Here is a 24,076-nt window from a genome sequence, read left to right on the forward strand (position 1 = left end):
CGGAAGCCGCCTCGGGTTGCCGGAGCCCTCGGGCCTTGGAGATGAAGGCAGGCCCCTGCTCCTGCCAGGAAGGAGGGAGGCAGTGGGCTCATGGGTCGGTGCCTTTGCAGCCGACAGCACGCCTTGCGGCCCTGGGGATCTTCCTGTGCCCCGGCGAGACCCTTTCCGCCTCACTGCATTGGAACCCCATTCCCGATCACCCGCTGGGATCCATCATCGGACCCCAAGAGGAGTCCGCGCAGCCCAGCCGGCACCCCGAAGCTCCTCCTTCAGTGGGAACCGAAGCAGAAGAGCGATCAAGGAGGTCCTCACCACAGGACTCCTATGGGTCCGACCCTGGGTCTCCCGCAGGCCCCTCTGGCAGTCCTCTTCCCACCCGCCGCCTCGGGCTGCGCCTTCGCCGCCGCCGCCGCAACCTCCAGCACCGCCGCCCCAGGCCCCGCAGCCGCCGCGTCGCCGCCATTTTTTAAAGGGTCCGCAGCCTGACTCTGCGGAGTAAGGGGGGGTGGAGCGGGGGAGTCGGCCTCGCCAGCGCGCATGCGCGAGGCCCGAGCCGCCGCTTGGGTCACAGTGAAAGCCACCGTTGCCCGGGGATGGGTCCCTGACACTTGGGGAAGTAGGAGCCCTGTGTGATCGTGCGTCTGAGTCTGGGCTGAGACCAGTCCTGGCCAGGGCAGTTACCAGGACGGTCTCCGGAGGCCGGGATTCGCGGAGGGTCCAGCAGCAGGAAGAAACCCCAGGAGGAAGAAACCTCAGACAGATCGCCGGCGAGGCAGCGCGGGATCCCAGCCTCAGGCGTGCGCGGACGGTGTGCGGGTGAGTCTCCCCAAAAGTGGAGCCCTTGTGATGACGAGCACAGGTCCGCCTGCGTGCCCGTGGGCTGCTCTCTCACCGGTGGCTCTCAGTCGCGGAGAGCAGAACCCGGCAGCTTCAGGGGCTGCCTGCGGGAGGGTGTTCCCTGCTGTACGTGTGTGTTCGTCATGGGTGTGTGTGTGTGTGTGTTGGGGGGGGTGCGTCTGTGTGTGTGTCTGTGTGTGTGCGCGCGCAGTGCCTGTCTGTGTGCCGACTTCTGTCTCTCTCTCACGTCTCTCTCTCTCTCTCTCTCTCTCTCTCTCTCTCTCTCTCTGTCTCCCTTCTCGCTCTTTCCGTGGCCCTCTCTTTCTGTCTCTGTCCGTCTGTGTGTGCGTGCGCCTCGGGACACATGTGCCCTGTGCGCCGGAGGGTGGGTTTCTTGCACGTCGGCCTTTCTTCTGGTCAGCCTCTCCCCGCGTCTCTGCCTGGGTCGTGTGGCCGGTTGGCAGTCGTCGTCCCGGCGGTTCCAGTTTGGGGGTCTGTGAAGGCCTGGGCAACGTGGGCATCGGCGTCGGACCCGCAGGGGTTTTCATCCCCTCCCCATCCGGAGCAGCCTCTTTGCTAGGCTGGATCCAGACGAGCGCTCCCCAACCAAGGACAACGGCCTCCCAGGCGCTCATCGTCCACCCGCAGGAGGGTGCCCGCAGAGCTTCAAGAAGGTGGTTGTCACGCCTGTCGCCCTCTGCCCTCATCGAGAAATGTAGCCACAGCTCGACGCAGGGACGGAGAAGGAAGCCGGCAAGGGGATGGGGCAAGCATGTCTGTCTCTCAAAGGCTGGCCTTCCTGGCCGAGTCACCCGTTTGACACTCCTCCCCGGATGCCGGTGGTGGTGGCATGGCCCCCCCGTATCCTGCCTGGGCTCTGGCCTCTGCTCTGACCTCCCTCTTGCTGTGTCTGCCCCGCCTCTGAGAAGCCTGGCGGCTTCTTAGTGTGGCTCAGTGTCTTCCACAAAGAAGACTTCCCCGTCCATCAGGGAGAAACCTCGTGGCGGTCCGCGTCATGATTGTTTCCCTCTCCACACCTCTTTCTGGATGATTGGGCAGCTGTGGTGATCCTGGAGCTCTGGGCTTCCATACCTGTGTGGGACAGGGAAGCTCTCTCGGTCTCCATGGCCCAAGTGATGGCTGCACGCTCGGTCCAGGAAGAGGCGGAGGCAAGCCCACCGCTCCTGACATTGGCCTTCTAGGAAAGGCGGTGTTGCATCCCACATGCACTTCCTCTCTGATTCTTGAGGGCCAACCGCTTCCTCCGCTCCTGGGGAAAGTGCCTTCTAGCACCGAATCTTTTGGCTGCCACGGATGTCAGGGAGCCAACGGGACTGGGTTTTGGCTGGGTGCAGGGGAGGTTGCGTCAGGGGTACCTAGCCGGCGGCGGGCTGGGGGTGGGGTGTACTTTGTCCAAACCTCTTGGCTCCTCTGGCGGGCCTCCCTGAACGTGGCGTGGACTCGCGCACAGGCCCTGTCTCGCAGGTTTTCAGGTGCGCTTGGCTTTTCCTCCGCTTTGTGGGGCAGGTCTCCAGTGGCCCCCCGGGCGCACGCCTGGACATCACTGTCCGTCTCGTCGTCGCCCCCTACGGCCTCAAAGACACACGCTGCCTGCATGTGCTCTTGGGGGACGACAGTGCCACATGTGGACACACTGGCTCCAGCTCGGACTCGCCTCTGTCTCTCTTTGCCCGTGTCGCCGGAAGCCGCCTCGGGTTGCCGGAGCCCTCGGGCCTTGGAGATGAAGGCAGGCCCCTGCTCCTGCCAGGAAGGAGGGAGGCAGTGGGCTCATGGGTCGGTGCCTTTGCAGCCGACAGCACGCCTTGCGGCCCTGGGGATCTTCCTGTGCCCCGGCGAGACCCTTTCCGCCTCACTGCATTGGAACCCCATTCCCGATCACCCGCTGGGATCCATCATCGGACCCCAAGAGGAGTCCGCGCAGCCCAGCCGGCACCCCGAAGCTCCTCCTTCAGTGGGAACCGAAGCAGAAGAGCGATCAAGGAGGTCCTCACCACAGGACTCATGGGTCCGACCCTGGGTCTCCCGCAGGCCCCTCTGGCAGTCCTCTCCCCACCCGCCGCCTCGGGCTGCGCCTTCGCCGCCGCCGCCGCAACCTCCAGCACCGCCGCCCCAGGCCCCGCAGCCGCCGCGTCGCCGCCATTTTTTAAAGGGTCCGCAGCCTGACTCTGCGGAGTAAGGGGGGGTGGAGCGGGGGAGTCGGCCTCGCCAGCGCGCATGCGCGAGGCCCGAGCCGCCGCTTGGGTCACAGTGAAAGCCACCGTTGCCCGGGGATGGGTCCCTGACACTTGGGGAAGTAGGAGCCCTGTGTGATCGTACGTCTGAGTCTGGGCTGAGACCAGTCCTGGCCAGGGCAGTTACCAGGACGGTCTCCGGAGGCCGGGATTCGCGGAGGGTCCAGCAGCAGGAAGAAACCCCAGGAGGAAGAAACCTCAGACAGATCGCCGGCGAGGCAGCGCGGGATCCCAGCCTCAGGCGTGCGCGGACGGTGTGCGGGTGAGTCTCCCCAAAAGTGGAGCCCTTGTGATGACGAGCACAGGTCCGCCTGCGTGCCCGTGGGCTGCTCTCTCACCGGTGGCTCTCAGTCGCGGAGAGCAGAACCCGGCAGCTTCAGGGGCTGCCTGCGGGAGGGTGTTCCCTGCTGTACGTGTGTGTTCGTCATGGGTGTGTGTGTGTGTGTGTTGGGGGGGTGCGTCTGTGTGTGTGTCTGTGTGTGTGCGCGCGCAGTGCCTGTCTGTGTGCCGACTTCTGTCTCTCTCTCACGTCTCTCTCTCTCTCTCTCTCTCTCTCTCTCTCTCTGTCTCCCTTCTCGCTCTTTCCGTGGCCCTCTCTTTCTGTCTCTGTCCGTCTGTGTGCGTGCGCCTCGGGACACATGTGCCCTGTGCGCCGGAGGGTGGGTTTCTTGCACGTCGGCCTTTCTTCTGGTCAGCCTCTCCCCGCGTCTCTGCCTGGGTCGTGTGGCCGGTTGGCAGTCGTCGTCCCGGCGGTTCCAGTTTGGGGGTCTGTGAAGGCCTGGGCAACGTGGGCATCGGCGTCGGACCCGCAGGGGTTTTCATCCCCTCCCCATCCGGAGCAGCCTCTTTGCTAGGCTGGATCCAGACGAGCGCTCCCCAACCAAGGACAACGGCCTCCCAGGCGCTCATCGTCCACCCGCAGGAGGGTGCCCGCAGAGCTTCAAGAAGGTGGTTGTCACGCCTGTCGCCCTCTGCCCTCATCGAGAAATGTAGCCACAGCTCGACGCAGGGACGGAGAAGGAAGCCGGCAAGGGGATGGGGCAAGCATGTCTGTCTCTCAAAGGCTGGCCTTCCTGGCCGAGTCACCCGTTTGACACTCCTCCCCGGATGCCGGTGGTGGTGGCATGGCCCCCCCGTATCCTGCCTGGGCTCTGGCCTCTGCTCTGACCTCCCTCTTGCTGTGTCTGCCCCGCCTCTGAGAAGCCTGGCGGCTTCTTAGTGTGGCTCAGTGTCTTCCACAAAGAAGACTTCCCCGTCCATCAGGGAGAAACCTCGTGGCGGTCCGCGTCATGATTGTTTCCCTCTCCACACCTCTTTCTGGATGATTGGGCAGCTGTGGTGATCCTGGAGCTCTGGGCTTCCATACCTGTGTGGGACAGGGAAGCTCTCTGGGTCTCCATGGCCCAAGTGATGGCTGCACGCTCGGTCCAGGAAGAGGCGGAGGCAAGCCCACCGCTCCTGACATTGGCCTTCTAGGAAAGGCGGTGTTGCATCCCACCTGCACTTCCTCTCTGATTCTTGAGGGCCAACCGCTTCCTCCGCTCCTGGGGAAAGTGCCTTCTAGCACCGAATCTTTTGGCTGCCACGGATGTCAGGGAGCCAACGGGACTGGGTTTTGGCTGGGTGCAGGGGAGGTTGCGTCAGGGGTACCTAGCCGGCGGCGGGCTGGGGGTGGGGTGTACTTTGTCCAAACCTCTCGGCTCCTCTGGCGGGCCTCCCTGAACGTGGCGTGGACTCGCGCACAGGCCCTGTCTCGCAGGTTTTCAGGTGCGCTTGGCTTTTCCTCCGCTTTGTGGGGCAGGTCTCCAGTGGCCCCCCGGGCGCACGCCTGGACATCACTGTCCGTCTCGTCGTCGCCCCCTACGGCCTCAAAGACACACGCTGCCTGCATGTGCTCTTGGGGGACGACAGTGCCACATGTGGACACACTGGCTCCAGCTCGGACTCGCCTCTGTCTCTCTTTGCCCGTGTCGCCGGAAGCCGCCTCGGGTTGCCGGAGCCCTCGGGCCTTGGAGATGAAGGCAGGCCCCTGCTCCTGCCAGGAAGGAGGGAGGCAGTGGGCTCATGGGTCGGTGCCTTTGCAGCCGACAGCACGCCTTGCGGCCCTGGGGATCTTCCTGTGCCCCGGCGAGACCCTTTCCGCCTCACTGCATTGGAACCCCATTCCCGATCACCCGCTGGGATCCATCATCGGACCCCAAGAGGAGTCCGCGCAGCCCAGCCGGCACCCCGAAGCTCCTCCTTCAGTGGGAACCGAAGCAGAAGAGCGATCAAGGAGGTCCTCACCACAGGACTCCTATGGGTCCGACCCTGGGTCTCCCGCAGGCCCCTCTGGCAGTCCTCTTCCCACCCGCCGCCTCGGGCTGCGCCTTCGCCGCCGCCGCCGCAACCTCCAGCACCGCCGCCCCAGGCCCCGCAGCCGCCGCGTCGCCGCCATTTTTTAAAGGGTCCGCAGCCTGACTCTGCGGAGTAAGGGGGGGTGGAGCGGGGGAGTCGGCCTCGCCAGCGCGCATGCGCGAGGCCCGAGCCGCCGCTTGGGTCACAGTGAAAGCCACCGTTGCCCGGGGATGGGTCCCTGACACTTGGGGAAGTAGGAGCCCTGTGTGATCGTGCGTCTGAGTCTGGGCTGAGACCAGTCCTGGCCAGGGCAGTTACCAGGACGGTCTCCGGAGGCCGGGATTCGCGGAGGGTCCAGCAGCAGGAAGAAACCCCAGGAGGAAGAAACCTCAGACAGATCGCCGGCGAGGCAGCGCGGGATCCCAGCCTCAGGCGTGCGCGGACGGTGTGCGGGTGAGTCTCCCCAAAAGTGGAGCCCTTGTGATGACGAGCACAGGTCCGCCTGCGTGCCCGTGGGCTGCTCTCTCACCGGTGGCTCTCAGTCGCGGAGAGCAGAACCCGGCAGCTTCAGGGGCTGCCTGCGGGAGGGTGTTCCCTGCTGTACGTGTGTGTTCGTCATGGGTGTGTGTGTGTGTGTGTTGGGGGGGGTGCGTCTGTGTGTGTGTCTGTGTGTGTGCGCGCGCAGTGCCTGTCTGTGTGCCGACTTCTGTCTCTCTCTCACGTCTCTCTCTCTCTCTCTCTCTCTCTCTGTCTCCCTTCTCGCTCTTTCCGTGGCCCTCTCTTTCTGTCTCTGTCCGTCTGTGTGTGCGTGCGCCTCGGGACACATGTGCCCTGTGCGCCGGAGGGTGGGTTTCTTGCACGTCGGCCTTTCTTCTGGTCAGCCTCTCCCCGCGTCTCTGCCTGGGTCGTGTGGCCGGTTGGCAGTCGTCGTCCCGGCGGTTCCAGTTTGGGGGTCTGTGAAGGCCTGGGCAACGTGGGCATCGGCGTCGGACCCGCAGGGGTTTTCATCCCCTCCCCATCCGGAGCAGCCTCTTTGCTAGGCTGGATCCAGACGAGCGCTCCCCAACCAAGGACAACGGCCTCCCAGGCGCTCATCGTCCACCCGCAGGAGGGTGCCCGCAGAGCTTCAAGAAGGTGGTTGTCACGCCTGTCGCCCTCTGCCCTCATCGAGAAATGTAGCCACAGCTCGACGCAGGGACGGAGAAGGAAGCCGGCAAGGGGATGGGGCAAGCATGTCTGTCTCTCAAAGGCTGGCCTTCCTGGCCGAGTCACCCGTTTGACACTCCTCCCCGGATGCCGGTGGTGGTGGCATGGCCCCCCCGTATCCTGCCTGGGCTCTGGCCTCTGCTCTGACCTCCCTCTTGCTGTGTCTGCCCCGCCTCTGAGAAGCCTGGCGGCTTCTTAGTGTGGCTCAGTGTCTTCCACAAAGAAGACTTCCCCGTCCATCAGGGAGAAACCTCGTGGCGGTCCGCGTCATGATTGTTTCCCTCTCCACACCTCTTTCTGGATGATTGGGCAGCTGTGGTGATCCTGGAGCTCTGGGCTTCCATACCTGTGTGGGACAGGGAAGCTCTCTGGGTCTCCATGGCCCAAGTGATGGCTGCACGCTCGGTCCAGGAAGAGGCGGAGGCAAGCCCACCGCTCCTGACATTGGCCTTCTAGGAAAGGCGGTGTTGCATCCCACCTGCACTTCCTCTCTGATTCTTGAGGGCCAACCGCTTCCTCCGCTCCTGGGGAAAGTGCCTTCTAGCACCGAATCTTTTGGCTGCCACGGATGTCAGGGAGCCAACGGGACTGGGTTTTGGCTGGGTGCAGGGGAGGTTGCGTCAGGGGTACCTAGCCGGCGGCGGGCTGGGGGTGGGGTGTACTTTGTCCAAACCTCTCGGCTCCTCTGGCGGGCCTCCCTGAACGTGGCGTGGACTCGCGCACAGGCCCTGTCTCGCAGGTTTTCAGGTGCGCTTGGCTTTTCCTCCGCTTTGTGGGGCAGGTCTCCAGTGGCCCCCCGGGCGCACGCCTGGACATCACTGTCCGTCTCGTCGTCGCCCCCTACGGCCTCAAAGACACACGCTGCCTGCATGTGCTCTTGGGGGACGACAGTGCCACATGTGGACACGCTGGCTCCAGCTCGGACTCGCCTCTGTCTCTCTTTGCCCGTGTCGCCGGAAGCCGCCTCGGGTTGCCGGAGCCCTCGGGCCTTGGAGATGAAGGCAGGCCCCTGCTCCTGCCAGGAAGGAGGGAGGCAGTGGGCTCATGGGTCGGTGCCTTTGCAGCCGACAGCACGCCTTGCGGCCCTGGGGATCTTCCTGTGCCCCGGCGAGACCCTTTCCGCCTCACTGCATTGGAACCCCATTCCCGATCACCCGCTGGGATCCATCATCGGACCCCAAGAGGAGTCCGCGCAGCCCAGCCGGCACCCCGAAGCTCCTCCTTCAGTGGGAACCGAAGCAGAAGAGCGATCAAGGAGGTCCTCACCACAGGACTCCTATGGGTCCGACCCTGGGTCTCCCGCAGGCCCCTCTGGCAGTCCTCTTCCCACCCGCCGCCTCGGGCTGCGCCTTCGCCGCCGCCGCCGCAACCTCCAGCACCGCCGCCCCAGGCCCCGCAGCCGCCGCGTCGCCGCCATTTTTTAAAGGGTCCGCAGCCTGACTCTGCGGAGTAACGGGGGGTGGAGCGGGGGAGTCGGCCTCGCCAGCGCGCATGCGCGAGGCCCGAGCCGCCGCTTGGGTCACAGTGAAAGCCACCGTTGCCCGGGGATGGGTCCCTGACACTTGGGGAAGTAGGAGCCCTGTGTGATCGTGCGTCTGAGTCTGGGCTGAGACCAGTCCTGGCCAGGGCAGTTACCAGGACGGTCTCCGGAGGCCGGGATTCGCGGAGGGTCCAGCAGCAGGAAGAAACCCCAGGAGGAAGAAACCTCAGACAGATCGCCGGCGAGGCAGCGCGGGATCCCAGCCTCAGGCGTGCGCGGACGGTGTGCGGGTGAGTCTCCCCAAAAGTGGAGCCCTTGTGATGACGAGCACAGGTCCGCCTGCGTGCCCGTGGGCTGCTCTCTCACCGGTGGCTCTCAGTCGCGGAGAGCAGAACCCGGCAGCTTCAGGGGCTGCCTGCGGGAGGGTGTTCCCTGCTGTACGTGTGTGTTCGTCATGGGTGTGTGTGTGTGTGTGTTGGGGGGGGTGCGTCTGTGTGTGTGTCTGTGTGTGTGCGCGCGCAGTGCCTGTCTGTGTGCCGACTTCTGTCTCTCTCTCACGTCTCTCTCTCTCTCTCTCTCTCTCTCTCTCTCTCTCTCTGTCTCCCTTCTCGCTCTTTCCGTGGCCCTCTCTTTCTGTCTCTGTCCGTCTGTGTGTGCGTGCGCCTCGGGACACATGTGCCCTGTGCGCCGGAGGGTGGGTTTCTTGCACGTCGGCCTTTCTTCTGGTCAGCCTCTCCCCGCGTCTCTGCCTGGGTCGTGTGGCCGGTTGGCAGTCGTCGTCCCGGCGGTTCCAGTTTGGGGGTCTGTGAAGGCCTGGGCAACGTGGGCATCGGCGTCGGACCCGCAGGGGTTTTCATCCCCTCCCCATCCGGAGCAGCCTCTTTGCTAGGCTGGATCCAGACGAGCGCTCCCCAACCAAGGACAACGGCCTCCCAGGCGCTCATCGTCCACCCGCAGGAGGGTGCCCGCAGAGCTTCAAGAAGGTGGTTGTCACGCCTGTCGCCCTCTGCCCTCATCGAGAAATGTAGCCACAGCTCGACGCAGGGACGGAGAAGGAAGCCGGCAAGGGGATGGGGCAAGCATGTCTGTCTCTCAAAGGCTGGCCTTCCTGGCCGAGTCACCCGTTTGACACTCCTCCCCGGATGCCGGTGGTGGTGGCATGGCCCCCCCGTATCCTGCCTGGGCTCTGGCCTCTGCTCTGACCTCCCTCTTGCTGTGTCTGCCCCGCCTCTGAGAAGCCTGGCGGCTTCTTAGTGTGGCTCAGTGTCTTCCACAAAGAAGACTTCCCCGTCCATCAGGGAGAAACCTCGTGGCGGTCCGCGTCATGATTGTTTCCCTCTCCACACCTCTTTCTGGATGATTGGGCAGCTGTGGTGATCCTGGAGCTCTGGGCTTCCATACCTGTGTGGGACAGGGAAGCTCTCTGGGTCTCCATGGCCCAAGTGATGGCTGCACGCTCGGTCCAGGAAGAGGCGGAGGCAAGCCCACCGCTCCTGACATTGGCCTTCTAGGAAAGGCGGTGTTGCATCCCACCTGCACTTCCTCTCTGATTCTTGAGGGCCAACCGCTTCCTCCGCTCCTGGGGAAAGTGCCTTCTAGCACCGAATCTTTTGGCTGCCACGGATGTCAGGGAGCCAACGGGACTGGGTTTTGGCTGGGTGCAGGGGAGGTTGCGTCAGGGGTACCTAGCCGGCGGCGGGCTGGGGGTGGGGTGTACTTTGTCCAAACCTCTCGGCTCCTCTGGCGGGCCTCCCTGAACGTGGCGTGGACTCGCGCACAGGCCCTGTCTCGCAGGTTTTCAGGTGCGCTTGGCTTTTCCTCCGCTTTGTGGGGCAGGTCTCCAGTGGCCCCCCGGGCGCACGCCTGGACATCACTGTCCGTCTCGTCGTCGCCCCCTACGGCCTCAAAGACACACGCTGCCTGCATGTGCTCTTGGGGGACGACAGTGCCACATGTGGACACGCTGGCTCCAGCTCGGACTCGCCTCTGTCTCTCTTTGCCCGTGTCGCCGGAAGCCGCCTCGGGTTGCCGGAGCCCTCGGGCCTTGGAGATGAAGGCAGGCCCCTGCTCCTGCCAGGAAGGAGGGAGGCAGTGGGCTCATGGGTCGGTGCCTTTGCAGCCGACAGCACGCCTTGCGGCCCTGGGGATCTTCCTGTGCCCCGGCGAGACCCTTTCCGCCTCACTGCATTGGAACCCCATTCCCGATCACCCGCTGGGATCCATCATCGGACCCCAAGAGGAGTCCGCGCAGCCCAGCCGGCACCCCGAAGCTCCTCCTTCAGTGGGAACCGAAGCAGAAGAGCGATCAAGGAGGTCCTCACCACAGGACTCCTATGGGTCCGACCCTGGGTCTCCCGCAGGCCCCTCTGGCAGTCCTCTTCCCACCCGCCGCCTCGGGCTGCGCCTTCGCCGCCGCCGCCGCAACCTCCAGCACCGCCGCCCCAGGCCCCGCAGCCGCCGCGTCGCCGCCATTTTTTAAAGGGTCCGCAGCCTGACTCTGCGGAGTAAGGGGGGGTGGAGCGGGGGAGTCGGCCTCGCCAGCGCGCATGCGCGAGGCCCGAGCCGCCGCTTGGGTCACAGTGAAAGCCACCGTTGCCCGGGGATGGGTCCCTGACACTTGGGGAAGTAGGAGCCCTGTGTGATCGTGCGTCTGAGTCTGGGCTGAGACCAGTCCTGGCCAGGGCAGTTACCAGGACGGTCTCCGGAGGCCGGGATTCGCGGAGGGTCCAGCAGCAGGAAGAAACCCCAGGAGGAAGAAACCTCAGACAGATCGCCGGCGAGGCAGCGCGGGATCCCAGCCTCAGGCGTGCGCGGACGGTGTGCGGGTGAGTCTCCCCAAAAGTGGAGCCCTTGTGATGACGAGCACAGGTCCGCCTGCGTGCCCGTGGGCTGCTCTCTCACCGGTGGCTCTCAGTCGCGGAGAGCAGAACCCGGCAGCTTCAGGGGCTGCCTGCGGGAGGGTGTTCCCTGCTGTACGTGTGTGTTCGTCATGGGTGTGTGTGTGTGTGTGTTGGGGGGGGTGCGTCTGTGTGTGTGTCTGTGTGTGTGCGCGCGCAGTGCCTGTCTGTGTGCCGACTTCTGTCTCTCTCTCACGTCTCTCTCTCTCTCTCTCTCTCTCTCTCTCTCTCTCTCTGTCTCCCTTCTCGCTCTTTCCGTGGCCCTCTCTTTCTGTCTCTGTCCGTCTGTGTGTGCGTGCGCCTCGGGACACATGTGCCCTGTGCGCCGGAGGGTGGGTTTCTTGCACGTCGGCCTTTCTTCTGGTCAGCCTCTCCCCGCGTCTCTGCCTGGGTCGTGTGGCCGGTTGGCAGTCGTCGTCCCGGCGGTTCCAGTTTGGGGGTCTGTGAAGGCCTGGGCAACGTGGGCATCGGCGTCGGACCCGCAGGGGTTTTCATCCCCTCCCCATCCGGAGCAGCCTCTTTGCTAGGCTGGATCCAGACGAGCGCTCCCCAACCAAGGACAACGGCCTCCCAGGCGCTCATCGTCCACCCGCAGGAGGGTGCCCGCAGAGCTTCAAGAAGGTGGTTGTCACGCCTGTCGCCCTCTGCCCTCATCGAGAAATGTAGCCACAGCTCGACGCAGGGACGGAGAAGGAAGCCGGCAAGGGGATGGGGCAAGCATGTCTGTCTCTCAAAGGCTGGCCTTCCTGGCCGAGTCACCCGTTTGACACTCCTCCCCGGATGCCGGTGGTGGTGGCATGGCCCCCCCGTATCCTGCCTGGGCTCTGGCCTCTGCTCTGACCTCCCTCTTGCTGTGTCTGCCCCGTCTCTGAGAAGCCTGGCGGCTTCTTAGTGTGGCTCAGTGTCTTCCACAAAGAAGACTTCCCCGTCCATCAGGGAGAAACCTCGTGGCGGTCCGCGTCATGATTGTTTCCCTCTCCACACCTCTTTCTGGATGATTGGGCAGCTGTGGTGATCCTGGAGCTCTGGGCTTCCATACCTGTGTGGGACAGGGAAGCTCTCTCGGTCTCCATGGCCCAAGTGATGGCTGCACGCTCGGTCCAGGAAGAGGCGGAGGCAAGCCCACCGCTCCTGACATTGGCCTTCTAGGAAAGGCGGTGTTGCATCCCACCTGCACTTCCTCTCTGATTCTTGAGGGCCAACCGCTTCCTCCGCTCCTGGGGAAAGTGCCTTCTAGCACCGAATCTTTTGGCTGCCACGGATGTCAGGGAGCCAACGGGACTGGGTTTTGGCTGGGTGCAGGGGAGGTTGCGTCAGGGGTACCTAGCCGGCGGCGGGCTGGGGGTGGGGTGTACTTTGTCCAAACCTCTCGGCTCCTCTGGCGGGCCTCCCTGAACGTGGCGTGGACTCGCGCACAGGCCCTGTCTCGCAGGTTTTCAGGTGCGCTTGGCTTTTCCTCCGCTTTGTGGGGCAGGTCTCCAGTGGCCCCCCGGGCGCACGCCTGGACATCACTGTCCGTCTCGTCGTCGCCCCCTACGGCCTCAAAGACACACGCTGCCTGCATGTGCTCTTGGGGGACGACAGTGCCACATGTGGACACACTGGCTCCAGCTCGGACTCGCCTCTGTCTCTCTTTGCCCGTGTCGCCGGAAGCCGCCTCGGGTTGCCGGAGCCCTCGGGCCTTGGAGATGAAGGCAGGCCCCTGCTCCTGCCAGGAAGGAGGGAGGCAGTGGGCTCATGGGTCGGTGCCTTTGCAGCCGACAGCACGCCTTGCGGCCCTGGGGATCTTCCTGTGCCCCGGCGAGACCCTTTCCGCCTCACTGCATTGGAACCCCATTCCCGATCACCCGCTGGGATCCATCATCGGACCCCAAGAGGAGTCCGCGCAGCCCAGCCGGCACCCCGAAGCTCCTCCTTCAGTGGGAACCGAAGCAGAAGAGCGATCAAGGAGGTCCTCACCACAGGACTCCTATGGGTCCGACCCTGGGTCTCCCGCAGGCCCCTCTGGCAGTCCTCTTCCCACCCGCCGCCTCGGGCTGCGCCTTCGCCGCCGCCGCCGCAACCTCCAGCACCGCCGCCCCAGGCCCCGCAGCCGCCGCGTCGCCGCCATTTTTTAAAGGGTCCGCAGCCTGACTCTGCGGAGTAAGGGGGGGTGGAGCGGGGGAGTCGGCCTCGCCAGCGCGCATGCGCGAGGCCCGAGCCGCCGCTTGGGTCACAGTGAAAGCCACCGTTGCCCGGGGATGGGTCCCTGACACTTGGGGAAGTAGGAGCCCTGTGTGATCGTGCGTCTGAGTCTGGGCTGAGACCAGTCCTGGCCAGGGCAGTTACCAGGACGGTCTCCGGAGGCCGGGATTCGCGGAGGGTCCAGCAGCAGGAAGAAACCCCAGGAGGAAGAAACCTCAGACAGATCGCCGGCGAGGCAGCGCGGGATCCCAGCCTCAGGCGTGCGCGGACGGTGTGCGGGTGAGTCTCCCCAAAAGTGGAGCCCTTGTGATGACGAGCACAGGTCCGCCTGCGTGCCCGTGGGCTGCTCTCTCACCGGTGGCTCTCAGTCGCGGAGAGCAGAACCCGGCAGCTTCAGGGGCTGCCTGCGGGAGGGTGTTCCCTGCTGTACGTGTGTGTTCGTCATGGGTGTGTGTGTGTGTGTGTTGGGGGGGTGCGTCTGTGTGTGTGTCTGTGTGTGTGCGCGCGCAGTGCCTGTCTGTGTGCCGACTTCTGTCTCTCTCTCACGTCTCTCTCTCTCTCTCTCTCTCTCTCTCTCTCTCTCTGTCTCCCTTCTCGCTCTTTCCGTGGCCCTCTCTTTCTGTCTCTGTCCGTCTGTGTGTGCGTGCGCCTCGGGACACATGTGCCCTGTGCGCCGGAGGGTGGGTTTCTTGCACGTCGGCCTTTCTTCTGGTCAGCCTCTCCCCGCGTCTCTGCCTGGGTCGTGTGGCCGGTTGGCAGTCGTCGTCCCGGCGGTTCCAGTTTGGGGGTCTGTGAAGGCCTGGGCAACGTGGGCATCGGCGTCGGACCCGCAGGGGTTTTCATCCCCTCCCCATCCGGAGCAGCCTCTTTGCTAGGCTGGATCCAGACGAGCGCTCCCCAACCAAGGACAACGGCCTCCCAGGCGCTCATCGTCCACCCGCAGGAGGGTGCCCGCAGAGCTTCAAGAAGGTGGTTGTCACGCCTGTCGCCCTCTGCCCTCATCGAGAAATGTAGCCACAGCTCGACGCAGGGACGGAGAAGGAAGCCGGCAAGGGGATGGGGCAAGCATGTCTGTCTCTCAAAGGCTGGCCTTCCTGGCCGAGTCACCCGTTTGACACTCCTCCCCGGATGCCGGTGGTGGTGGCATGGCCCCCCCGTATCCTGCCTGGGCTCTGGCCTCTGCTCTGACCTCCCTCTTGCTGTGTCTGCCCCGTCTCTGAGAAGCCTGGCGGCTTCTTAGTGTGGCTCAGTGTCTTCCACAAAGAAGACTTCCCTGTCCATCAGGGAGAAACCTCGTGGCGGTCCGCGTCATGATTGTTTCCCTCTCCACACCTCTTTCTGGATGATTGGGCAGCTGTGGTGATCCTGGAGCTCTGGGCTTCCATACCTGTGTGGGACAGGGAAGCTCTCTCGGTCTCCATGGCCCAAGTGATGGCTGCACGCTCGGTCCAGGAAGAGGCGGAGGCAAGCCCACCGCTCCTGACATTGGCCTTCTAGGAAAGGCGGTGTTGCATCCCACCTGCACTTCCTCTCTGATTCTTGAGGGCCAACCGCTTCCTCCGCTCCTGGGGAAAGTGCCTTCTAGCACCGAATCTTTTGGCTGCCACGGATGTCAGGGAGCCAACGGGACTGGGTTTTGGCTGGGTGCAGGGGAGGTTGCGTCAGGGGTACCTAGCCGGCGGCGGGCTGGGGGTGGGGTGTACTTTGTCCAAACCTCTCGGCTCCTCTGGCGGGCCTCCCTGAACGTGGCGTGGACTCGCGCACAGGCCCTGTCTCGCAGGTTTTCAGGTGCGCTTGGCTTTTCCTCCGCTTTGTGGGGCAGGTCTCCAGTGGCCCCCCGGGCGCACGCCTGGACATCACTGTCCGTCTCGTCGTCGCCCCCTACGGCCTCAAAGACACACGCTGCCTGCATGTGCTCTTGGGGGACGACAGTGCCACATGTGGACACACTGGCTCCAGCTCGGACTCGCCTCTGTCTCTCTTTGCCCGTGTCGCCGGAAGCCGCCTCGGGTTGCCGGAGCCCTCGGGCCTTGGAGATGAAGGCAGGCCCCTGCTCCTGCCAGGAAGGAGGGAGGCAGTGGGCTCATGGGTCGGTGCCTTTGCAGCCGACAGCACGCCTTGCGGCCCTGGGGATCTTCCTGTGCCCCGGCGAGACCCTTTCCGCCTCACTGCATTGGAACCCCATTCCCGATCACCCGCTGGGATCCATCATCGGACCCCAAGAGGAGTCCGCGCAGCCCAGCCGGCACCCCGAAGCTCCTCCTTCAGTGGGAACCGAAGCAGAAGAGCGATCAAGGAGGTCCTCACCACAGGACTCATGGGTCCGACCATGGGTCTCCCGCAGGCCCCTCTGGCAGTCCTCTCCCCACCCGCCGCCTCGGGCTGCGCCTTCGCCGCCGCCGCCGCAACCTCCAGCACCGCCGCCCCAGGCCCCGCAGCCGCCGCGTCGCCGCCATTTTTTAAAGGGTCCGCAGCCTGACTCTGCGGAGTAAGGGGGGGTGGAGCGGGGGAGTCGGCCTCGCCAGCGCGCATGCGCGAGGCCCGAGCCGCCGCTTGGGTCACAGTGAAAGCCACCGTTGCCCGGGGATGGGTCCCTGACACTTGGGGAAGTAGGAGCCCTGTGTGATCGTGCGTCTGAGTCTGGGCTGAGACCAGTCCTGGCCAGGGCAGTTACCAGGACGGTCTCCGGAGGCCGGGATTCGCGGAGGGTCCAGCAGCAGGAAGAAACCCCAGGAGGAAGAAACCTCAGACAGATCGCCGGCGAGGCAGCGCGGGATCCCAGCCTCAGGCGTGCGCGGACGGTGTGCGGGTGAGTCTCCCCAAAAGTGGAGCCCTTGTGATGACGAGCACAGGTCCGCCTGCGTGCCCGTGGGCTGCTCTCTCACCGGTGGCTCTCAGTCGCGGAGAGCAGAACCCGGCAGCTTCAGGGGCTGCCTGCGGGAGGGTGTTCCCTGCTGTACGTGTGTGTTCGTCATGGGTGTGTGTGTGTGTGTGTTGGGGGGGGTGCGTCTGTGTGTGTGCGCGCGCAGTGCCTGTCTGTGTGCCGACTTCTGTCTCTCTCTCACGTCTCTCTCTCTCTCTCTCTCTCTCTCTCTCTCTGTCTCCCTTCTCGCTCTTTCCGTGGCCCTCTCTTTCTGTCTCTGTCCGTCTGTGTGTGCGTGCGCCTCGGGACACATGTGCCCTGTGCGCCGGAGGGTGGGTTTCTTGCACGTCGGCCTTTCTTCTGGTCAGCCTCTCCCCGCGTCTCTGCCTGGGTCGTGTGGCCGGTTGGCAGTCGTCGTCCCGGCGGTTCCAGTTTGGGGGTCTGTGAAGGCCTGGGCAACGTGGGCATCGGCGTCGGACCCGCAGGGGTTTTCATCCCCTCCCCATCCGGAGCAGCCTCTTTGCTAGGCTGGATCCAGACGAGCGCTCCCCAACCAAGGACAACGGCCTCCCAGGCGCTCATCGTCCACCCGCAGGAGGGTGCCCGCAGAGCTTCAAGAAGGTGGTTGTCACGCCTGTCGCCCTCTGCCCTCATCGAGAAATGTAGCCACAGCTCGACGCAGGGACGGAGAAGGAAGCCGGCAAGGGGATGGGGCAAGCATGTCTGTCTCTCAAAGGCTGGCCTTCCTGGCCGAGTCACCCGTTTGACACTCCTCCCCGGATGCCGGTGGTGGTGGCATGGCCCCCCCGTATCCTGCCTGGGCTCTGGCCTCTGCTCTGACCTCCCTCTTGCTGTGTCTGCCCCGTCTCTGAGAAGCCTGGCGGCTTCTTAGTGTGGCTCAGTGTCTTCCACAAAGAAGACTTCCCCGTCCATCAGGGAGAAACCTCGTGGCGGTCCGCGTCATGATTGTTTCCCTCTCCACACCTCTTTCTGGATGATTGGGCAGCTGTGGTGATCCTGGAGCTCTGGGCTTCCATACCTGTGTGGGACAGGGAAGCTCTCTCGGTCTCCATGGCCCAAGTGATGGCTGCACGCTCGGTCCAGGAAGAGGCGGAGGCAAGCCCACCGCTCCTGACATTGGCCTTCTAGGAAAGGCGGTGTTGCATCCCACCTGCACTTCCTCTCTGATTCTTGAGGGCCAACCGCTTCCTCCGCTCCTGGGGAAAGTGCCTTCTAGCACCGAATCTTTTGGCTGCCACGGATGTCAGGGAGCCAACGGGACTGGGTTTTGGCTGGGTGCAGGGGAGGTTGCGTCAGGGGTACCTAGCCGGCGGCGGGCTGGGGGTGGGGTGTACTTTGTCCAAACCTCTCGGCTCCTCTGGCGGGCCTCCCTGAACGTGGCGTGGACTCGCGCACAGGCCCTGTCTCGCAGGTTTTCAGGTGCGCTTGGCTTTTCCTCCGCTTTGTGGGGCAGGTCTCCAGTGGCCCCCCGGGCGCACGCCTGGACATCACTGTCCGTCTCGTCGTCGCCCCCTACGGCCTCAAAGACACACGCTGCCTGCATGTGCTCTTGGGGGACGACAGTGCCACATGTGGACACACTGGCTCCAGCTCGGACTCGCCTCTGTCTCTCTTTGCCCGTGTCGCCGGAAGCCGCCTCGGGTTGCCGGAGCCCTCGGGCCTTGGAGATGAAGGCAGGCCCCTGCTCCTGCCAGGAAGGAGGGAGGCAGTGGGCTCATGGGTCGGTGCCTTTGCAGCCGACAGCACGCCTTGCGGCCCTGGGGATCTTCCTGTGCCCCGGCGAGACCCTTTCCGCCTCACTGCATTGGAACCCCATTCCCGATCACCCGCTGGGATCCATCATCGGACCCCAAGAGGAGTCCGCGCAGCCCAGCCGGCACCCCGAAGCTCCTCCTTCAGTGGGAACCGAAGCAGAAGAGCGATCAAGGAGGTCCTCACCACAGGACTCATGGGTCCGACCATGGGTCTCCCGCAGGCCCCTCTGGCAGTCCTCTTCCCACCCGCCGCCTCGGGCTGCGCCTTCGCCGCCGCCGCCGCAACCTCCAGCACCGCCGCCCCAGGCCCCGCAGCCGCCGCGTCGCCGCCATTTTTTAAAGGGTCCGCAGCCTGACTCTGCGGAGTAAGGGGGGGTGGAGCGGGGGAGTCGGCCTCGCCAGCGCGCATGCGCGAGGCCCGAGCCGCCGCTTGGGTCACAGTGAAAGCCACCGTTGCCCGGGGATGGGTCCCTGACACTTGGGGAAGTAGGAGCCCTGTGTGATCGTACGTCTGAGTCTGGGCTGAGACCAGTCCTGGCCAGGGCAGTTACCAGGACGGTCTCCGGAGGCCGGGATTCGCGGAGGGTCCAGCAGCAGGAAGAAACCCCAGGAGGAAGAAACCTCAGACAGATCGCCGGCGAGGCAGCGCGGGATCCCAGCCTCAGGCGTGCGCGGACGGTGTGCGGGTGAGTCTCCCCAAAAGTGGAGCCCTTGTGATGACGAGCACAGGTCCGCCTGCGTGCCCGTGGGCTGCTCTCTCACCGGTGGCTCTCAGTCGCGGAGAGCAGAACCCGGCAGCTTCAGGGGCTGCCTGCGGGAGGGTGTTCCCTGCTGTACGTGTGTGTTCGTCATGGGTGTGTGTGTGTGTGTGTTGGGGGGGTGCGTCTGTGTGTGTGTCTGTGTGTGTGCGCGCGCAGTGCCTGTCTGTGTGCCGACTTCTGTCTCTCTCTCACGTCTCTCTCTCTCTCTCTCTCTCTCTCTCTCTCTCTGTCTCCCTTCTCGCTCTTTCCGTGGCCCTCTCTTTCTGTCTCTGTCCGTCTGTGTGTGCGTGCGCCTCGGGACACATGTGCCCTGTGCGCCGGAGGGTGGGTTTCTTGCACGTCGGCCTTTCTTCTGGTCAGCCTCTCCCCGCGTCTCTGCCTGGGTCGTGTGGCCGGTTGGCAGTCGTCGTCCCGGCGGTTCCAGTTTGGGGGTCTGTGAAGGCCTGGGCAACGTGGGCATCGGCGTCGGACCCGCAGGGGTTTTCATCCCCTCCCCATCCGGAGCAGCCTCTTTGCTAGGCTGGATCCAGACGAGCGCTCCCCAACCAAGGACAACGGCCTCCCAGGCGCTCATCGTCCACCCGCAGGAGGGTGCCCGCAGAGCTTCAAGAAGGTGGTTGTCACGCCTGTCGCCCTCTGCCCTCATCGAGAAATGTAGCCACAGCTCGACGCAGGGACGGAGAAGGAAGCCGGCAAGGGGATGGGGCAAGCATGTCTGTCTCTCAAAGGCTGGCCTTCCTGGCCGAGTCACCCGTTTGACACTCCTCCCCGGATGCCGGTGGTGGTGGCATGGCCCCCCCGTATCCTGCCTGGGCTCTGGCCTCTGCTCTGACCTCCCTCTTGCTGTGTCTGCCCCGCCTCTGAGAAGCCTGGCGGCTTCTTAGTGTGGCTCAGTGTCTTCCACAAAGAAGACTTCCCCGTCCATCAGGGAGAAACCTCGTGGCGGTCCGCGTCATGATTGTTTCCCTCTCCACACCTCTTTCTGGATGATTGGGCAGCTGTGGTGATCCTGGAGCTCTGGGCTTCCATACCTGTGTGGGACAGGGAAGCTCTCTCGGTCTCCATGGCCCAAGTGATGGCTGCACGCTCGGTCCAGGAAGAGGCGGAGGCAAGCCCACCGCTCCTGACATTGGCCTTCTAGGAAAGGCGGTGTTGCATCCCACCTGCACTTCCTCTCTGATTCTTGAGGGCCAACCGCTTCCTCCGCTCCTGGGGAAAGTGCCTTCTAGCACCGAATCTTTTGGCTGCCACGGATGTCAGGGAGCCAACGGGACTGGGTTTTGGCCGGGTGCAGGGGAGGTTGCGTCAGGGGTACCTAGCCGGCGGCGGGCTGGGGGTGGGGTGTACTTTGTCCAAACCTCTCGGCTCCTCTGGCGGGCCTCCCTGAACGTGGCGTGGACTCGCGCACAGGCCCTGTCTCGCAGGTTTTCAGGTGCGCTTGGCTTTTCCTCCGCTTTGTGGGGCAGGTCTCCAGTGGCCCCCCGGGCGCACGCCTGGACATCACTGTCCGTCTCGTCGTCGCCCCCTACGGCCTCAAAGACACACGCTGCCTGCATGTGCTCTTGGGGGACGACAGTGCCACATGTGGACACGCTGGCTCCAGCTCGGACTCGCCTCTGTCTCTCTTTGCCCGTGTCGCCGGAAGCCGCGTCGGGATGCCGGAGCCCTCGGGCCTTGGAGATGAAGGCAGGCCCCTGCTCCTGCCAGGAAGGAGGGAGGCAGTGGGCTCATGGGTCGGTGCCTTTGCAGCCGACAGCACGCCTTGCGGCCCTGGGGATCTTCCTGTGCCCCGGCGAGACCCTTTCCGCCTCACTGCATTGGAACCCCATTCCCGATCACCCGCTGGGATCCATCGTCGGACCCCAAGAGGAGTCCGCGCAGCCCAGCCGGCACCCCGAAGCTCCTCCTTCAGCGGGAACGGAAGCAGAAGAGCGATCAAGGAGGTCCTCACCACAGGACTCCTATGGGTCCGACCCTGGGTCTCCCGCAGGCCCCTCTGGCAGTCCTCTTCCCACCCGTCGCCTCGGGCTGCGCCGCCGCCGCCGCCGCCGCAACCTCCAGCACCGCCGCCCCAGGCCCCGCAGCCGCCGCGTCGCCGCCATTTTTTAAAGGGTCCGCAGCCTGACTCTGCGGAGTAAGGGGGGGTGGAGCGGGGGGAGTCGGCCTCGCCAGCGCGCAGGCGCGAGGCCCGAGCCGCCGCTTGGGTCACAGTGAAAGCCACCGTTGCCCGGGGATGGGTCCCTGACACTTGGGGAAGTAGGAGCCCTGTGTGATCGTGCGTCTGAGTCTGGGCTGAGACCAGTCCTGGCCAGGGCAGTTACCAGGACGGTCTCCGGAGGCCGGGATTCGCGGAGGGTCCAGCAGCAGGAAGAAACCCCAGGAGGAAGAAACCTCAGACAGATCGCCGGCGAGGCAGCGCGGGATCCCAGCCTCTGGCGTGCGCGGACGGTGTGCGGGTGAGTCTCCCCAAAAGTGGAGCCCTTGTGATGACGAGCACAGGTCCGCCTGTGTGCCCGTGGGCTGCTCTCTCACCGGTGGCTCGTAGTCGCGTAAAGCAGAAGTAGCAGTTTCAGCGGCTGACACTAAGAACAATGCATACTGGCAAAGTGAGGTGTCTCACATCTTTAATCCCAGCAGTTTGGGAGGCTGAGGCGGATGGATCACTTGAGGTCAGGGGATCACACCAGCCTAACCAACATGATGAAACTCCGCGTCTACTAAAAAAAAGTACCAGACAGTTAGCGCGGTGTGGTGGCATATGCCTGTAAATCCCAGCTATTTGGGAGGCTGAGGCAGGAGAATCGGTTGAACCAGTGTGGCCGAGGTTGCAGTGAGTGTAGATTGCACCACTGCACTCTAGCCTGGGTAACAAGCACAAAACTCTGTCTCAAAAAAAAAAAAAAAATTATCAGTGCAGAGTTAGGCCAGATTCATTTTCAGAGTAGGAGGGAATTTCAAATTATGGGTGAAATGTCCCAACTGCCGGAAGGTGAAAGTGTTCTGTGATGTAAAATTTAGGTCACACTCTATAAAGCTTCTCCTTATTCTATGTGTGAACAGCTAGTCTGTATCTTCACCTATGCATATTTAAAAATCAACCTTACGAAGGCTCTTGGCCACCATAATCCTTCCTACCCTGTAGCAAGAGCCCAGCCTCAGACTATGTTTCCTTCTGCCTCCGAGTGCAATGCCTTCCCCCGAGTCTCCAAGGTACCAAACCGGTCAGGGGCAGCTGAGACAGCTCTACTTGTACGAGTCCTCCCCAAGCCCTTGAAATCACAGGCATCTCTGCTGTCCCTGCCCTTTATCCACATCACTGAACAATTAAGCACACACATCTGTGTAGTTTTATTTAAACTGTTCCATGTGTGTTTGTTTACAATTAACAACATGAATGACTGCAGTATGGATGCAGCAGAAAGGAATGCTGAGGGAGGACTCCAGTTGGAATGAGCCACTTTTCCAGGACTAGGAATGAACTTTCCCCAGTACCAACAAGGCAGCCTCCAGGGCAAGAAATGGTAACAGAATCCATCCTGTTGACAGTCAAGATGGAATTACAGAGAATTCTCACCTCTTTTTTGACTCTCAGGTGGAAACCCCCTTCCCATGGGGTGAAGCGCAGTCTGCTCCAGAGACCCACTGTTAGGGTCGGGGATGTCACAGAAATTAACAGGGCAGCCAATTCCCATCCAGAGGGGCCCAGGATGACCCCGAACCCTCTAGCTCAGCCCCAAGCTCGGGCCAGGGAGTGAAGCCTTTGTCCCCAAGCAACAGAGTGAGGGTCTGTCTCTAACCCGGTGGGCTCCAGTGAAAGGAAAATGGCCTGGAGGTGCCCACAGGAGGGCGCCCTAGTTCTGAGACAGGTCTACGGCTCCCAGACTGCGTCCCCATGAGTAACAGAGGGACACGCAGAGGGGCATACTGAGTGCCTATAGGGGACTCACAGACTGCAGATGCACGCTGCGGATCCAGAAGCCGGTCAGGTAATGAGGTGCAGAGGTGTGGGGAAGACCTGGGTGCTTCCCTGGGTGCCAACCAGCCTAACCCGCCGGGGCCACCAAACAGAAGTGCTTCTGACATTAACGCGACACACAGAAGGTGTGTAGGGTGGGTAGTGGAAGTGACCGCAGAGGCCTCTGGGGATTGTAGTTTTGGAGCTAGAGAGGCGGGCAAGCAGTTGGCTTCGCCCACACGGTGTGCCTCTCACATCTGCACAGCGCACACAACCAAGCTTAGGAGCCGACTGTTAAGATGCCCCAGTGACACGGACAAGTTTCTCCTCTGCAACCCAATGAGAGCTGCTGACCACGAGAGCATCGCGGGACCGCCAAAGGATTCTGGAAAATGTGGTCCCGGGTGGCCAGTGTGCGCTGACCTTCACCTGAAGGTGAGCTGAGCTCACCATGCAAGTCTCCACCCTGGGGTGCCCTTCCCCAAGCAGATGCCAGGTTGGGGCAGAAGCAGTTCAGGGAGAAGCGATGCGCTCCTGGGACTGCCGGTTTGGGGGGCAACATCGGCCCTGTGTCCCCTAGAGTAGGAGGGTGTACCAGGATGGGGAACCCCAAGGCCGTTTTCAGGGAGAACAAGATTGGCTTGAGGCAAACTCCCGGAATGGAGATGGGGAGAGTCTGGTCGCATTTCCCCAGGAGTTTAGGGGATGAAGGCTGGACTTGGGTGAACAGCAAAAGATCCCCTGGTGATAGTGGTGGTGAGGATCAGAGGCTTGAGCCAGAAATTCCCGAGGTGTTTGTTTGTTTTGTTTTTTTTGAGACAGAGTCTTGATCTGTCTCCCAGGATGTAGTGCAATGGCATGCTCTTGGCTCATTGCAACCTCCGCCTCCCAGGTTCAAGCGATTCTCCTGCCTCAGCCTCCCAAGTAGCTGAGATTATAGGCACCTGCCACTGTGCCCACCTAAATTTTTTTTGTTTTTTTGTATTTTTAGTAGAGACGATGTTTCACCACATTGCCCAGCCTGGTCTCGAACTCCTGACCTCAAGTGATCCACCTGCCTCGGCCTCCCAAAGTGCTGGGATTACAGGCATGAGCCCCCACACCCAGCTCATTTTTATCTTTTAACTTAAAGGTTTTTATTTTTCTCTATTTTTACTCTTACAGGTACGGCTTGAAGGAAACTTCTGGAGGGTGGGGTGGTGTTGAAGAGAAGGCACAATTGTCACCATTTTGTTCAACATGGGCGTTTTCTTTGTGCATTGATTTGCATTTTTAAAGGTATTCCATTAAAAATATGTTTATCTATTTTAATGTTTTTTTTGGTGCCCCTTTAAATTCTCTATCCACAGTCCTGAGCCTTAATACGAAGTGAGGGCCTGGCCTCTGGGCATCAAGCAGCCAGAAAGTCCCTTAGGAGCTTTCTCTGAATTGTTGAATTGTGACTGATCTTTTCCTTTCCTGACTTCCTTAATATCCACAATTTCCTCGTAACCATCCCCCCAAAGCCACACCCACAAGGCACCTCCAAG

General features: G+C 63.0%; 1 long non-coding RNA gene across 5 annotated transcripts in view, besides 6 other annotated features; it reads left to right on the forward strand.

The window, feature by feature from the left end:
• The window catches only part of CYKILR (cyclin dependent kinase inhibitor 2A regulated lncRNA), a gene marked incomplete at its 3' end in the record, with an annotated part of 52,208 nt that overhangs the window by 19,727 nt on the left and 8,405 nt on the right, over positions 1 to 24,076 (forward strand). Inside the window, exons 1-3 of one of the 5 annotated variants that reach the window (NR_199167.1) lie at positions 20,800 to 21,048; positions 22,813 to 22,982; positions 23,712 to 23,825. This is a non-coding gene — a long non-coding RNA (cyclin dependent kinase inhibitor 2A regulated lncRNA). Of the gene's footprint in view, positions 1 to 20,799; positions 21,049 to 22,812; positions 22,983 to 23,711; positions 23,853 to 24,076 lie in introns of those variants that run through there. The other 4 variants (NR_029389.2, NR_199170.1, NR_199169.1 and 1 more) reach the window with 4 other exon arrangements.
• Positions 7,016 to 7,631: an enhancer, noted in NCBI's record as "H3K27ac-H3K4me1 hESC enhancer chr19:36786728-36787343 (GRCh37/hg19 assembly coordinates)". NCBI's record gives its function as "activates a minimal SCP1, AML or CMV promoter by ChIP-STARR-seq in primed H9 embryonic stem cells {active_cell/tissue: H9 hESC(primed)}" and the evidence as "EXISTENCE:reporter gene assay evidence [ECO:0000049][PMID:30033119]".
• Positions 7,632 to 8,246: an enhancer, noted in NCBI's record as "H3K27ac-H3K4me1 hESC enhancer chr19:36787344-36787958 (GRCh37/hg19 assembly coordinates)". NCBI's record gives its function as "activates a minimal SCP1, AML or CMV promoter by ChIP-STARR-seq in primed H9 embryonic stem cells {active_cell/tissue: H9 hESC(primed)}" and the evidence as "EXISTENCE:reporter gene assay evidence [ECO:0000049][PMID:30033119]".
• Positions 10,771 to 11,372: an enhancer, noted in NCBI's record as "H3K27ac-H3K4me1 hESC enhancer chr19:36790483-36791084 (GRCh37/hg19 assembly coordinates)". NCBI's record gives its function as "activates a minimal SCP1, AML or CMV promoter by ChIP-STARR-seq in primed H9 embryonic stem cells {active_cell/tissue: H9 hESC(primed)}" and the evidence as "EXISTENCE:reporter gene assay evidence [ECO:0000049][PMID:30033119]".
• Positions 11,373 to 11,973: an enhancer, noted in NCBI's record as "H3K27ac-H3K4me1 hESC enhancer chr19:36791085-36791685 (GRCh37/hg19 assembly coordinates)". NCBI's record gives its function as "activates a minimal SCP1, AML or CMV promoter by ChIP-STARR-seq in naive H9 embryonic stem cells {active_cell/tissue: H9 hESC(naive)}" and the evidence as "EXISTENCE:reporter gene assay evidence [ECO:0000049][PMID:30033119]".
• Positions 13,923 to 14,532: an enhancer, noted in NCBI's record as "H3K27ac-H3K4me1 hESC enhancer chr19:36793635-36794244 (GRCh37/hg19 assembly coordinates)". NCBI's record gives its function as "activates a minimal SCP1, AML or CMV promoter by ChIP-STARR-seq in naive H9 embryonic stem cells {active_cell/tissue: H9 hESC(naive)}" and the evidence as "EXISTENCE:reporter gene assay evidence [ECO:0000049][PMID:30033119]".
• Positions 17,099 to 17,712: an enhancer, noted in NCBI's record as "H3K27ac-H3K4me1 hESC enhancer chr19:36796811-36797424 (GRCh37/hg19 assembly coordinates)". NCBI's record gives its function as "activates a minimal SCP1, AML or CMV promoter by ChIP-STARR-seq in naive H9 embryonic stem cells {active_cell/tissue: H9 hESC(naive)}" and the evidence as "EXISTENCE:reporter gene assay evidence [ECO:0000049][PMID:30033119]".

This window comes from Homo sapiens, chromosome 19, assembly GCF_000001405.40.
Source record: "Homo sapiens chromosome 19, GRCh38.p14 Primary Assembly".
NCBI lineage: Eukaryota > Metazoa > Chordata > Mammalia > Primates > Hominidae > Homo > Homo sapiens.